General features: G+C 45.8%; 1 protein-coding gene, 1 long non-coding RNA gene and 1 pseudogene across 2 annotated transcripts in view, besides 1 other annotated feature; all 3 read left to right on the top strand.

The window, feature by feature from the left end:
* Window positions 1-1353: 1353 nt before the first annotated feature.
* LOC124902697 (uncharacterized) lies at window positions 1354-2345 on the top strand. Its single transcript, XR_007062743.1, has 2 exons — window positions 1354-1638; window positions 1743-2345. It is a non-coding gene; the product is annotated as an uncharacterized LOC124902697 (long non-coding RNA).
* Window positions 5155-6177, top strand: OR7E1P (olfactory receptor family 7 subfamily E member 1 pseudogene; annotated as a pseudogene).
* Window positions 7846-8346: an enhancer, noted in NCBI's record as "H3K4me1 hESC enhancer chr11:67739536-67740036 (GRCh37/hg19 assembly coordinates)". NCBI's record gives its function as "activates a minimal SCP1, AML or CMV promoter by ChIP-STARR-seq in naive H9 embryonic stem cells {active_cell/tissue: H9 hESC(naive)}" and the evidence as "EXISTENCE:reporter gene assay evidence [ECO:0000049][PMID:30033119]".
* Window positions 14251-14574, top strand: part of LOC112268076 (translation initiation factor IF-2-like) — a 154152-nt gene continuing 153828 nt past the window's right edge. The window contains exon 1 of the mRNA XM_047427952.1: window positions 14251-14564. Within this exon, the coding sequence (XP_047283908.1) occupies window positions 14251-14564 (314 nt within the window). The remainder of the gene's footprint in view (window positions 14565-14574) is intronic.

Below are 14574 nucleotides of genomic sequence, written 5' to 3'. Positions count from 1 at the left end.
GGTGTAAGGTGTCCAAGAAAAAAGCTCAGATCTGCTGACAGCAGGTATGTTCCTTGGGATTTAGTATCCGACAGGGGGAACGCAGCCCGGGATCAGAAAGAAAGCCGGTCATTTGCAATCTAGCAGAGCCTAAGAGCAGAAGGCAGGTGAGAGAATTCTTAGGAGCTGTGGGGTTTTGTAGACTGCGGATCCCAAACTTTGCAGTATTAGCCAAGACTTTGTATAAGGTCACAAAGGGGGCGGGGATGGGAAATTTTTGAATGGGGATCCCAACAACAGCAAGCCTTTCGTGAGTTAAAGGAGAAACTTATGTCAGCCCCAGCCCTGGGGCTACCTGATCTGACAAAGTCTTTTACATCCTATGTGTCAGAGAGAGAGAAAAGATGGCAGCCGGACTTTGAACCCAAACTGTGGGGCCTTGGCCGAGGCCGGTGGCCTACCTCTCTAAACAACTAGATGGGGTCTCTAAAGGATGGCCCCTGTGTTGGAGGGCCTTGGCAGCAACTGCCCTGCTAGTACAAGAAGCAAAGAAGCTGACTCTTGGGCAGAACCTGAACAGAAAGGCCCCCCATGCTGTGGTGACTTTAATGAATATTAAAGGACATCATTGGCTAATGAATGCCAGACTCACCAAGTACCAAAGTTTGCTCTGTGAAAATCCCCGTGTAACCATTGAAGTTTGTAACACCCTGCCACCTTGCTCCCGCTATCAGAGAGCCCCGTCGAGCATGATTGTGTAGAAGTGTTGGACTCAGTTGACTCTAGCAGACCTGACTTCTGGGACCAGCCTTGGGCATCAGTAGACTGGGAACTATACGTGGATGGGAGCAGCTTCTTCAACCCCCAAGGAGAGAGAGGTGCAGGGTATGCAGTGATAACCCTGGACACTGTTGTTGAAGCCAGATCGTTGCCCCAGGCCACTTCAGCCCAGAAAGCTGAACTCATTGCTTTCATTTGGGCCTTAGAGCTCAGTGAGGGTGAGACTGTCAACATTTACACTGATTCTCGGTATGTCTTTTGAACCCTTCACATGCATGGAGCGTGATAGAAAGAAAAGGGCCTATTAAACTCTGGGGTAAAAGACAGAAAATATCAACCAGAAATCTTCTATGTATTAGAAGTAGTATGGAAACCCCACAAGGTGGCAGTTATGCATTGCAGGGGACACCAGCGAGCTTCCACCTTGGTGGGCTTGGGGAATTCCCGCGCTGACTCATAGGCTGGAAAAGCAGCATCTGCCCGTTTCCAGGCATCAGTCACAGCTCCTCTGCTCCCTCAAGCACCTGATCTTGGACCTGCTTATTCTAAAGAAGAAAAGGACTTTGTCCAGGTAGAGGGAAGGACAAGTGATGGAGGAAGGATGGAGAGTAGCTGCGCCACAGCTGCTAGGAGCTGCAGTTGTACTGGCTGTGCAAGAAACCACCTATCGAGGTCAGGAGTCACTGGAAAAGTTGTTAGGCCGGTATTTCTACATCTCGCGTTTCTCAGCCCTTGCCAAAACGGTGAGGCAGCGGTGTGTTACCTGCCGACAGCATAAAGCGAGGCAAGGTCCAGCCGTTCCACCCGGCATACAAGCTTATGGAGCAGCCCCCTTAGAAGATCTCCAGGTAGACTTCACAGAGATGCCAAAGTGTGGAGGTAACAAGTATTTACTAGTTCTTGGCCGTACCTACTCTGGGTGGGTGGAGGCTTATCCAACACAACTGAGAAAGCTCGTGAAGTAACCCGTGTGCTTCTTCGAGATCTGATTCGTAGATTGGGACTGCCCTTCCGGATCGGCTCAGATAACGGGCCTGCGTTTGTGGCTGACTTGCTACAGAAGACGGCAAAGGAATTGGGGATCACACGGAAATTGCCTGCTGCCTCCCGGCCTCAGAGTTCCGGAAAGGTGGAGGGGATGAATCGGACTATCAAAATAGTATTATTGTCTTCCGCGATGGATATGTAAAACAACACCACGAGGGGCGTCAAACCACCTGCTACATTTGAGGGAATGTTATCCTCTCCCCCCCTCCCCCGGCCCCGGATATTAGAGGCAATAACACAGGGGTAGTGTACACCCACTGCTTTATTGGGAGTAATGCCATCCTCTGCCTTCTTGGATATTAGGAACAATATCACAGTGTGCGTGTACGCCTGTCGTGAAATTCAATGGTATGTCATCTTGTGCCTCCCTGGATATGACGAACAGTATCACAGGGGATGTACAACTTCTGAGATATCGGGAGTGATCTCATCCTCTTCCCTCTGGAAGTTAGGGACAATATCACAGGGGTAGTGTACACCTTCTGGGACTTTGGGACTAATATCCTCCCACCCCCTGGATATTAAAAACCATGTCACAAGGGGCGTGTACACACACTTCGATATTGGTATGAATACCATCCTCTCTCTCTTTGGATATTCGGTGCCATATTTCAGGTGGGGTTTACACCACCTGCAATATTAGAAGTCATGTTATTTTCTCCCCCTCCTGGATATTAGAAAGAGTATCACAGGGGGGTGTGAACAACCCTTGCGATATTTGGAGTCATATCATCGTCTCCCCTCAAGAATATTGAGAACAGTATCTTAGGGGTGGGGGTTGTATACCCCCTTTCATATTCGATATCATCCTCTTCCCCCCTGGATATTAGGAACAATATCAAGAAGGGATGTACAGACCCTGCGACATTTGCTGTCATGTAATTGTCTCTCCCCTAGATATTAGGAAAAATGTCACTGGGGATGTGAACACCCCTGCGATATTGGGAGTAGTATCATCCTCTCTCCCCTTGCATGTTGGGAACAATACCACAGGTGGGGTGTACTGCCTCTGCGATATTGGGAGTACAATTATCCTCTCTTCCCCTGGATACTAGGAAGGGTATCAGAGGGGGAGGGTGTACATTCCCTGTGATATTCAATGTCACCTTATCTTCTCCCTCCCAGGGTATTCAGAACAATAGGACAGGAGGGGTGTACACCCCCTGCGATATTGGGAGTCATATCATCCTCTCTCCCTGTGGATATTAGGAAGAGTATCACAGGGCTGTGGAAACACCCTGCGGTACTGGGAGTAATATCATCCTCTCTCCCTCTGGATATAAGGAAGATTTTCACAGGGGTGTGTACACCCCCTGCGATATTGGGAGTAATATCATCCTCTCCACCAAGGAAATGACAAACAAGGTCATGGGGGGTGAACTCCCCCTGAGATATTGGGAGTCATGTCATCCTCCCCAAACCTGGATGTTAGCAACGAGATCACAGAGGGGGTGTACACACCCTGCGATATTGGAAGTAATATGATCCTCTCCCCACCTGGATATGGGGAAAGATATCACAGAGCGGGTATACATTTCCTACGCTGTTGGGAGTAATATCATTCTTTTCCTTTCTGGATATTAGGAAGAATATCACAAGGGTGCTGTACAATTATTTCAATATTGGGAGTACTATCATCTTCTATTTTCCTGGATATTGGGCCCAATAACACAAAAAGGTGTACAACCCCTGCTATATTGGGAATAATAGCATACTCTCCTTCCCTGGATGTTAGAAAACAATATCATCAGGTCTGAACACCCCTGCGATAATGGGAGTAATATTGACTCTTTCACAGGCCATTTGGTACAATATCACAGGGGGTGTTTACAGACAGGGGTGGTGTACACCCCCTGTGATATTGGGAGTAACATCATTCTCTCCACCTACTGACAATAAGAACAATATCCCGGAGGGAGGTGGTACACCCCCAGTGATATTGGGAATAATGTCATCCTCTCCTTCCCTGGATATTAGGAACAATATCACAACGGGGTGTACACCTTCCGTGATATTGGAAGCAATATCATCCTCTCCCCCGCTGGATATTAGAAAAAAAATCACTCACGGTGTACACCCACTGTGATATGAGGAATAATATCTTCCTAGAGTATTATGAATAATTTCACAGTCTGCACACACATGGTGTACACTCACTGTGATATTAGGAGTAATATCTACCTAGTAGAAAACAAATAACATCGCAGGGTGCACACCCATTTTGATATTAGCTGTAATATTTTTCTAAGTTGTTACAAATAAGATCACAGGGTGTACAAACATGGTGTACACTCACTGTGATATCAGGAGTCGTATCTCTGTAATATATTATGAATAATATCACAGGGTGTACACCCACTGTATTATTGGGAGTAATATCTCTGTAGGATATTACAATTAAGATCACAGGGTGTACAGCCACTGTGATATTAGGAGAAATATCTTTCTAGGATATTACAAATAATATCACAGGGTGTACGCCGACTCTGCTGTCAGGTGCAATATCTCCCTAGGCTGTCAAAAATCCTATCACAGGGTTTCCAATCTCTGCCTTCCAGGTTCTAAGGGATTCTCCTGCTTCAGCCTCCCGAGTAGCTAGGGTTACCCGCCACCACACCCGGCTAATGTTTTTTTATTTTCACTGGAGACGGGGTTTCACCACGTTGGCCAGGCTGGTCTGGAACTCCTGACCTCAGGTGATCCATCAGCCTCGGCTACCCAAAGTGCTGGGATTACAGGTGTGAGCCATGGTGCTGGGCCAAGAGTTATAGATTCAATTCATTTGGAAACACAGCTCCCATCTTTGAGCGTGCATGTACTTTTATGAAGAAGTGATGTCAGAAAACCGAAGGATGATAATAAATATGAAAAGTAACAGGCATGTGAAAATCTTTCGATTGAGAACTATAAGGTTCGATGTCGTTTTCAGATAATGGGGTCCTAGCTCTTGTGTCGTCCTTTTACATATTCTACATCAATGGAAGTTGTAGCACGGGGTCAGAATAAAGTAGAGTGCATTTCACGGCTTCTTAATTTCTTTCAATTAGACTGAGATCTTTTTCTTCAAGAGAAAGGACATTGTCATTGCATTGTATTTTTTCTGAAAAGAGTAGGCCGTATTTTACTGAGATCACGGATTTGTTATATATAACGTTTTGGTCTCTGATATTCTTCAGTGGATTTTCTCTAAAGTAGTATGTACAGAAAGCCTTGTATAGCAAAAAAGTAAATCACGTAATAATTCTGAGATTTTTTGGAATTGTCACAACTGAGAAACATTGCTGGCGGTGTATGGTCCGCAAGTGTGAAGATGTTCCTTGTGAATTGCTTGCATCCAGCATTAAGGGCTGGTTTTTATCTGCTATTTTTCCAATCCTCTTTCCTTCTCAAGGTGTCCAAGACACACAGAGCCACGGAATCTCACAGGTGTCTGAGAATTCCTCCTCCTGGGACTCTCAGAGGACCCAGAACTGCAGCCTATCCTCGCTTTGCTGTCCCTGTCCCTGTCCATGTATCTGGTCACGGTGCTGAGGAACCTGCTCAGCATCCTGGCTGTCTGCTCTGACTCCCCCCTCCACACCCCCAGGTACTTCTTCCTCTCCAACCTGTGCTGGGCTGACATCGGTTTCACCTCCGCCACGGTTCCCAAGATGATTGTGGACATGCAGTCGCATAGCAGAGTCACGTCTCATGCGGGCTGTCTGACGCAGATGTCTTTCTTGGTCCTTTTTGCATGTATAGAAGGCATGCTCCTGACTGTGATGGCCTATGACTGCTTTGTAGCCATCTGTCGCCCTCTGCACTACCCAGTCATCGTGAATCCTCACCTCTGTGTCTTCGTTTTGGTGTCCTTTTTCCTTAGCCTGTTGGATTCCCAGCTGCACAGTTGGATTGTGTTACAATTCACCATCGTCTAGAATTTGGAAATCTCTAATTTTGTCTGTGACCCCTCTCAACTTCTCAAACTTGCCTGTTCTGACAGCGTCATCAATAGCATATTCATATATTTCGATAGTACTATGTTTGGTTTTCTTCCCATTTCAGGGATCCTATGGTCTTACTATAAAATCATCCCCTCCATTCTAAGGATTTCATCGTCAGATGGGAAGTATAAAGCCTTCTCCACCTGTGGCTCTCACCTAGCCGTTGTTTGCTGATTTTATGGAACAGGCATTGGCATGTACCTGACTTCAGCTGTGTCACAACCCCCCAGGAATGGTGTGGTGGCATCAGTGATGTATGCTGTGGTCACCCCCATGCTGAACCTTTTCATCTACAGCCTGAGAAACAGGAACATACAAAGTGCCCTGTGGAGGCTGCACAGCACAACAGTCGAATCTCATGATTTGTTCCATCCTTTCTCTTGTGTGGGTGAGAAAGGGCAACCACATTAAATCTCTACATCTGCAAATCCTGCCCCTTAGTCACATTCTTTCTGTGGCTTGATGGCTTTTATTCCTTTCCACATTTCCTTTGTGAATATTGCTTTCTTCGCTATGCCTTTCACTGGAATGGGTGAGGATTCTGGGACCCTTTGTTTAGCAGAAACCTCATGACAGAATCCTCTATACCTAGGTGGCCTCTTTTAGTTTCTGAGCAATAACCCTGTCATCCAGGTGGAATCACAACCATCTTTTTATATACACGAAGTCCTCACTTCCTTTTGGAATTCCCTGAAAACTGACTTTATGGAAACAATGTACAGGAGGTCCTCCAACACCATCAGTTGTTCAAAGATGTGTAGTTATACTGTTGATGAAAAATAAGTGGTTTCACTATACATAATTTTGCTTAAAGGTGAAGTTTCCAAGAGACTTTCAAAGATGTTAAGTGAGGACATGCTGTACATCAAATTCATATCCTCTTCCACAGTCCACGTGGAATATCTTTATAAACTGCTTCTAGAGAATCTATTTAGGCAGGTTCTGTGTAGAGATCCATGTCGCCATTCCTCAATCTTGGCTTTGAGTCAAATCACCTGGGGAGCTTACAAATGATGAGGCCTGGGTCTCAATACCTGAGATTCTGATTTCCTTGCACCTGTGTGAGTATGTGGATTTTTTTTTTTTTCTTTTAAAGCACCAGAGGTGGTTCCAATGACGAAGTTTTTAGAGGCATCAAGCTCCAATGAGTAAGAACAGAAATTAATTGTAATATGATTTCTTCAAATATTATCTTCAAATGCATTGTCCATCAACACCATACAAATGTTTATTATGTTGTTGTTTCTTACCATTTCGCATTTTCTATTTCTTTCTTTTCCTTATTTTTTGAGTCAGATTTTCACTCTTGTTGCCCAGGCTGGAGTTCAATGGCACGGTCTCGGCTCACTGCAGCCTCTGCCTCCCGTATTCGAGCAATTCTCCTGTCTCAGCCTTCCAAGTACCTGGGATTACAGGCATGCGCTACCATGCCTGGCTAATTTTTTTTTTTTTTTATATTGTTAATAGAGACAGTGTTTCTCCATTTTGGTCAGGCTGGTCTTGAACTCCCGACCTCAGGTGATCCGCCCGCTTCCGCCTCCCAAAGTGCTGGGATTACAGGCATGAGCGACTGCGCCCAGCCACCACTTAGCATTTACATTTTACATTTGTTGAAGTTGTAGATTTATACACACATTGATTGCTGCTTTGTTATACACTTGCATATACATAAGATAGGAAATAGAAAAGAATAAAATGGACACAGTATCCCTGAGGTTTCACATTCTGAGACATTTTAAAAATATTTGCTCTTCAGAAATTTGTTTCAATGAAGAAACTGTGGTATACACACCCAGTGAAGTATTATTCAGCCGAAAAAGGAAGAAACTCCTCTCCGCTGCAGACAAAATGGATGAGATTGCAGGTCTGTATATTAAATGAAAGAAGCCAGGCACAGAATGACAAATATTTCATGTCCTCACTTCTATGTAAGAAGAAAAAAGGAAACCTTGGCCAGGTGTTGTGGCTCAGGCCTGTAATCCCAGCACTCTAGGAGGCCGAGTCGCACGGATCACTTGAGTCCAGGAGTTCGAGATCAGCTTGGCCAACATGGTGAAACCCTGTCTCTACGGAAAACACAAACAATGAGCCGGGCGTGGTGACGCGTGCCTGTAGTCTCAGCTACTCAGAGGGCTGAGGCCCAAGAAGCGCTTGAACTTGGGAGGTGGAGCTTGCAGTGAGCCCTGATTGTGCCTGTGTACTCCAACCTGGGTAACAGAAAGAGACTCCATCACACACCTACACACAAAAGGAATCTCAGGAAGGTGGAAAGTATAAAGGTGATCAGCAGACGCTAGGAAGAAAAGGGGTGCGATAGGGAATGAAGACAAGTGGATAATTGGGTCCCAAAATACAGAAAGATGGAATAAGTGAGTTCCAGTGTTTCATAGCACAGTATGAAAATTTTACTTCACAAGAATTGCTTGCATATTTCCAGATGCTTTGGTAAGAAACTTCCTAACTTTCTCATTATGCTGGTTTTTAAGCTCTTCTCTTTCTGCTCTTGAAATCATGCTGGTTTTTTGTTTTTGTTTTGAGATGGAGTTTCGCTCTTGTTGCCCAGGCTGTAGTGTCATGGTGCAATGTTGGCTCACCGCAACCTCTGCCTCCTGGGTTCAAGCGATTCTCCTGCCTCCACCTCCCGAGTAGCTGGGATTACAGGCATGCGCCAGCACGCCCAGCTAATGTTGTATTTCTAGTAGAGACGGGGGTTTCTCCCTGTCGGTCAGGCTGGTCTTCAACTCCTGACCTCAGGTGATCCGCCCACCTCGGCCTCCCAGAGGTCTGGGATTACAGGCGTGAGCGACAGCGCCTGGCCCATGCTGTATCCTTATCTTTTGTCTGTTGTTGTTTGTTTGTTTTGGAGCCCAGAAATAACTTCTCATCTATATGTTCAAATGATTTTTCACATGAGTGCTAAGAAAGCTCATTGGTGGAAAAGAAGCCTTTTCAAGAAATGGTGTTGGAGAAACTTGATTTCCACATGCAGAAGAATGAAGGTGGACCCTATGTCACACCAGGTGCAAAAATTAACACAAACTGGATCAAAGACCTCACCCCAAGTGCTAAAAGTATCATACGCCTAAAAGAAAACATTGGCCATGCTTTCATGACATCAGATTGGGCAATGTTCTCTGGGATATGACACCAAAAGCATAGGCAACAAAAGAAAATTAGATTCCTTGGATTACATCTAAATGACAGACACTTTTGTGCAGCAAAAAACACTGTGAACTGAGTGAAAAGATAACCCATGGATTAGGAAAAATATTTGCAAAGCATATATCTGAAAAGAGGCTGATATCCATCATATATAAAGAACAGCTAGAACTAAACAACAAGAAACCCAAAGCATCCCATCAACAATGGTCAGAAGACTCGAGTAGACGTGTTCCTAAAGAAGATATAGCAATGGCCAATAAGCATCTAAAATGATATTCAAAGTCACTCATCATAGGGAAGCACAAATCAAACCAAGAATGTGATACCACACATTAGGATGGATATGATAAAAAAAAAACAAGCATTGGTGAGACTAGAGGGAAGTAGGAATGCTCGAATATGATTGGAGGGAATGTAAAACCGTGAAGGAACAGGGAAAATAGTATGGCGTCTACTGGAAAAATTAGAAACAGAATGATCAGATGTTCCCGCAGTTGCATTTGTGGGTACCTACCAAAAAGAATTAGAAGCCAGGAGTGGAAGACAGATTTGTGTACACCCATATTCATAGCAGCATTATTCACAACAGCCAAAATGTGGAAGCAACCCAAGGGTTCGTGGACAGATGAATGAAAAAGCACACTGCAGTTCCTTCATACAATGGAGGACTATTCAGCCTTAAAAATGCAGGCACTTCTGGCCGGTGCGGTGGCTCACGCCTGTAATCGCAGCGTCTTGGAAGACCGAGGTGGGCGGATCACCTGAGGTCAGGAATTCAAGACCAGCCTGGCCATCTTGGTGAAACCCCGTCTCTACTGAAAATGCAAAAAATGAGACAAGCATGGTGGCGTTGTACCTATAGTCCCAACTACTCGGGAGGCTGAGGCACAAGAATCGCTGGAACCCGGGAAGCGGAGGTTGCAGTGAGCCCAGATTGTGCCACTGCACTCCAGCCTGTGCGACAGAGTGAGACTCCATGGAAACATAAAACAAAACAAAACAAAGTCAAACGAACAAACAAAAAACAAACAAACAAACAAAAAAACAGAGAGGCACTTCTGAGGCAGGCCGCAACATGGATGAACCTTGCAAACATTATCCTCAGTGAAATAAATGAATCCCAAAAGGATAAACACGCCCAGGCTCAGTGACTTGCACCTGTAACCCCAGCACTTTGGGAGGCTGAGCCAGGCGGATCACTTCAGGTCAGGAGTTCAACACCAGCCTGGCCAATATGGTCTCTATTTAAAATACAACAATTAGCTGGGCGTGGTGGTGCACGCCTGTAATCCCAGCTACTCTGGAGACTGAGACAGAAGAATCGCTTGAACCCACGATGTGGAGGTTGCAGTGAGCCGAGATCACGCCACTGCACTCCAGCCTGGGTGACAGAGAAAGACTCTGTCTCCAAAACAAGAAAATTAAACACGGTTTGATTCCACTTATCTATCAAGTGTCTAGAGTAGTTAAAATCATAGAGTTGCAAACTAGAAAGGGGGCCCCCAGGGGTGGGCAAGAGAGAGGAGTGGAGAGCTTGGTGAATGGGTGCAATTTCCATTTTGAAAGATAAAACTGTTCCGGAGACGATGACGGTGATGGTTGCTAAACAATGTGAACGTACTTAATGTCATGAAACTGTAAACTGAAAAAGAGTGGAAACTGTAAATGTTTATACTGGCCATTCTATATGAACTAATATATATTTATAATTTTTCATATTTATACGTGGTATATTTTCCCATAATAAAAGATGAAAATTAAAGCAGTTGGATGTTTAAAAAGAAAAGAAAGAAGTGAAGAATACACACCAGCTTTCTCCTGATTAGAGGAAGAGCCCCAAAGCTTCTATGGACACTCACTTTTCTCTTCTTCTTGCATTATTATGAGGAAATCCTTAGTGGTTGGGGAACTTGGGTGACTTTGGCTAATGAGGAGCTCTGTGCCTTGAGCCCCCAGGCCACAGAATAGTAAATAGTCAGTCTGTGCCTCCAGCCCTGCAGTGTGAGGTTGCAGTCCTGTGGGCTCCAGAGACATCACCTGTATCAGGAGGCTCATGTCTTACCCTGTCATCTTGCCAGCCTTGAGGACGGAGTCTGAGCCTCCATGGTGCACCACACAGGGAGGACAGTGGACCTGTTCTCCGTGGTCATGGCCCAGCAGAGGGGAAGGGCAGTTCAGTGAGTGTAGGCAAAAGAAAGAGCGATCAGACTGTTACTGTGTCTATGTAGAAAGGAAAGACATAAGAGACTCCATTTTGAAAAAGGCCTGTACTTTCAACAATTTCTTTGCTGAGATGTTGTTAATCTGTAGCTTTGCCCCAGTCACTTTGAACAAACCATTTTGACCCAACCTGAATTTCACAAAAGCATGTGTTGTATGAAATCAAGGTTTAAGGGATCTAGGGCTGTGCAGGACGTGCCTTGTTAACAAGATGTTTGCAAGCAGTATACTTGGTAAAAGTCATCGCCATTCTCTAGTCTCAATAAACCAGGGGCACAATACACTGTGGAAAGCCACAGGTAGCTCTGCCCTTGAAAGCGCCGTATTGTCCAAGGTTTCTCCCCATGTGATAGTCTGAAAAGTGGCCTCGTGGGAGGAGAAAGACCTGACCGTCCACGAGCCTGACCCCCGTAAAGGGTCTGTGCTGAGGTGGATTAGTCAAAGAGGAAAGCCTCTTGCAGTTGAGAGAGAGGAAGGCCGCTGTCTCCTGCCTGCCCCTGGGAACTGAATGTCTCGGTATAAAACCCGATTGTACATTTGTTCAATTCTGAGATGGGGGAAAAACCGCCCTATGATGGGAGGCGAGACATGTTTGCAGCAATGCTGCCTTGTTATTCTTTACTCCACTGAGATGTTTGGGTGGAGAGAAACATCAATCTGGCTTAGAGACACGTCCAGTCATAGTACCTTCCCTTGAACTTCCTTATGACATAGATTCTATTGCTCACATGTTTGTTGCTGACCTTCTCCTTATTATCACCCTGCCCTCCTACTACATTCCTTTTTGCTAAAATAATAAAAATAATAATCAATAAAAACTGAGGGAACTTGGAGGCCTGTGCCGGTTCAGATCCTTGGTATGCTGAGCGCCGGTCCCCTAGGCCCACTGTTTTTTCTCCATGCTTTGTCTCTGTGTCTTATTTCTTTTCTCAGTCTCTCGTCCCACCCGACTAGAAATACTCACAGGTGTGGAGGGGCAGGCCACCCCTTCAAGTGAGTGCTGAGGGACGGTTGGGAGCCTTGTTTGTTTCCTCCTCCTCAGAACAAACAGGAGAATGCGCTGGGCAGATGGGAGGAGACCAATATGCAAACTCTGCGCTCAGCAGACTGTGGAGTTTCTGCTCTTGGTTGTGCTGGGGGTCTCAGAAATCTTATTCAAAATTTTGCTTTCCTCCCCCACTGGTTGTCCTTTTCATAGACATCTCACCCATGATAGCAGGGAATCAGTCCCTCTAAACTATTCCCTAAGAACAACAAAGAGATTATGAAGGTGATGATGAGGATAAAGAGGATGATGACAGACACCATGGCATCATGAACCCTTACTGAGGGCTTCCTAAAGGACAGGCTCTGAGCTCTGTGCTCTATGCAGCTTGTTTCTTTTCATCTGCATAGTCTCCACGTTATTAGTGCACATTTCATGATGATTTTACAGACTAGAAAAGGTGCAACGGATTTTCATGTAGCTTGTACCAGATCACGAAGTCAAAAAGGGTGACGTCCAATTTGAACCAGGCAGTCTAAGTCCAGACACATGGCATTTGGCCAGTCCTCTCCCTGCATCCAACCTGCCCTCTCAAATCCTCGTCACTGAGGCCGATGCCCCTGCTCACTGTGCCCTTCCCTTTGGGGGTTCCTTGTAGACCACAGCTAGACCAGTGGGTGCCACAATCACTGTGTCATGTATAGAAAGGGCAGCTGAGATCACATCAAGGATTCCAGAAAGAATTGGCACAGGATCATTTGGGATGCATCTCTCCCTTGCCCCTGTTCCTGGCTTTCCTTACAGCTCTCGACTTCCTCAAAGGAGTCATCAGTTCGGAGTTTGGCTTCCATTCCTATTGAGGAAGCTGGAAAGCGTTTCAAAAATGCTCCTCCAATGTGCCTGTGGTTAAGACCTCTGAGCTCTGCTTAAAACTTTTGGAAGCTGGGCGCGGTGGCTCATGTATGTAATCCCATCCCTTTGGGAGGCTGAGGCAGGTGAATCACAAGGTCAGGAGTTCGAGACCAGCCTGGCCAACATGGTGAAACCCTGTCTCTACTAAAAAAAAAAAAAAAAAAAAATTAGCCAGGCATGGTGGCGTATGCCTGTAATCCCAGCTACTGGGGAGGCTGAGGCAGGAGACTCCTTTGAAGCTGGGAGACAGAGGTTGCAGTAAACCGAGATCACACCACTGCACTCCAGCCTGGGCAACAGAGCAAGACTCTGTCTTAAAAAAATAAATAAATAAAAATTACGAAAAAATGTGCTTGGATGGGCTTGACAAACTTTAGCCATTAGCTCACGTACTACTTTGGAAGGGCATACCTTCAGTCACTTCACCCTTTAATCCCTTTGCTCAAGACTAAAGTTCTGAGAGGAAGTCTAATCGGCTGAGTTGTGTCCATGTGGGCAGTGCAGCAAAGGGTGCAGCGGGAGGCGGCTCCAGGGACGTCTTTGGCTTCCATCATGGGGGAGCAGGTGCCTGGATTATCCACCCTAACAAATCTGGACAAAGGAAAACGAGGTTCTCTGAGGAAGGAGACATAGAGCCCAAGGAGCTAACCAAGAGACAAAGAGTCACCCTGTCTTGTCATTTTCTTTTACACATGTGTGTACATTATCTTACACTTATCACTTTGTTTTCTTTCTCTCCTTTAATTGCACCCTGTTGCCAAAAGTTAAAATAAAATGAAAGTATTGAGATAGCTCAGTAACTGACTTTTGGTCAATTGCCTTTTCATGTAGTGAACAGCTGCCCAAACGATTGTCTCTGTCACTGTGCAAATTTGCAAGCGTTTGCATGATCACTCCCAATCCCCCAACACAGGGCTGTGTTATAGCACAATTCAGTTCAGTGTTTTGCTCTCTGCAACAGGGAGGCTCTCATCCATTACAGGTTGCAGTAAAAACAGGGATACCATAAGCAACCACCTCTTTCCTCAACGATGTGATGAAAGCAAAAGCCAAGTAGCTCCATATATCCAACTTAAAAATATAAAAAGTTACGCCCGTGGGCTGCAGTTGGAGCTATGGCGGCAGCAGCTGTCACTGGGCCTAGCCTGGGGTGTGGACCTGGGGACTCCCCAGAAGGCCCCGATGTGGAGGCTCACGGAGCGTCGGCGGAAGGCGCACAGGATGCTAAAGCTTTACAACGGCCTCTCAGAAGGGGAAGCGGTGGGACTCCCTGCAGGGCCCGACCCCCTGGACCCCACTGATCTGAACGGGGCACACTTTGACCCGGAAGTTTACCTAGACAAGCTGCCTAGAGAGTCCCCTCTGGCCCAGCTGATGGACAGTGAGACGGACATGGTGCAGCAGATCCGGGCTCTAGACAGCGACATGCAAACCCTGGTCTATGAGAACTACGATAAGTTCATCCCAGCCACAGAAATGACAAACAGCATAAAACTGTATGAGGAA

Source organism: Homo sapiens, chromosome 11 (assembly GCF_000001405.40).
Source record: "Homo sapiens chromosome 11, GRCh38.p14 Primary Assembly".
Taxonomy (NCBI): domain Eukaryota; kingdom Metazoa; phylum Chordata; class Mammalia; order Primates; family Hominidae; genus Homo; species Homo sapiens.
This window is presented reverse-complemented; position numbering and strand designations above follow the sequence as displayed.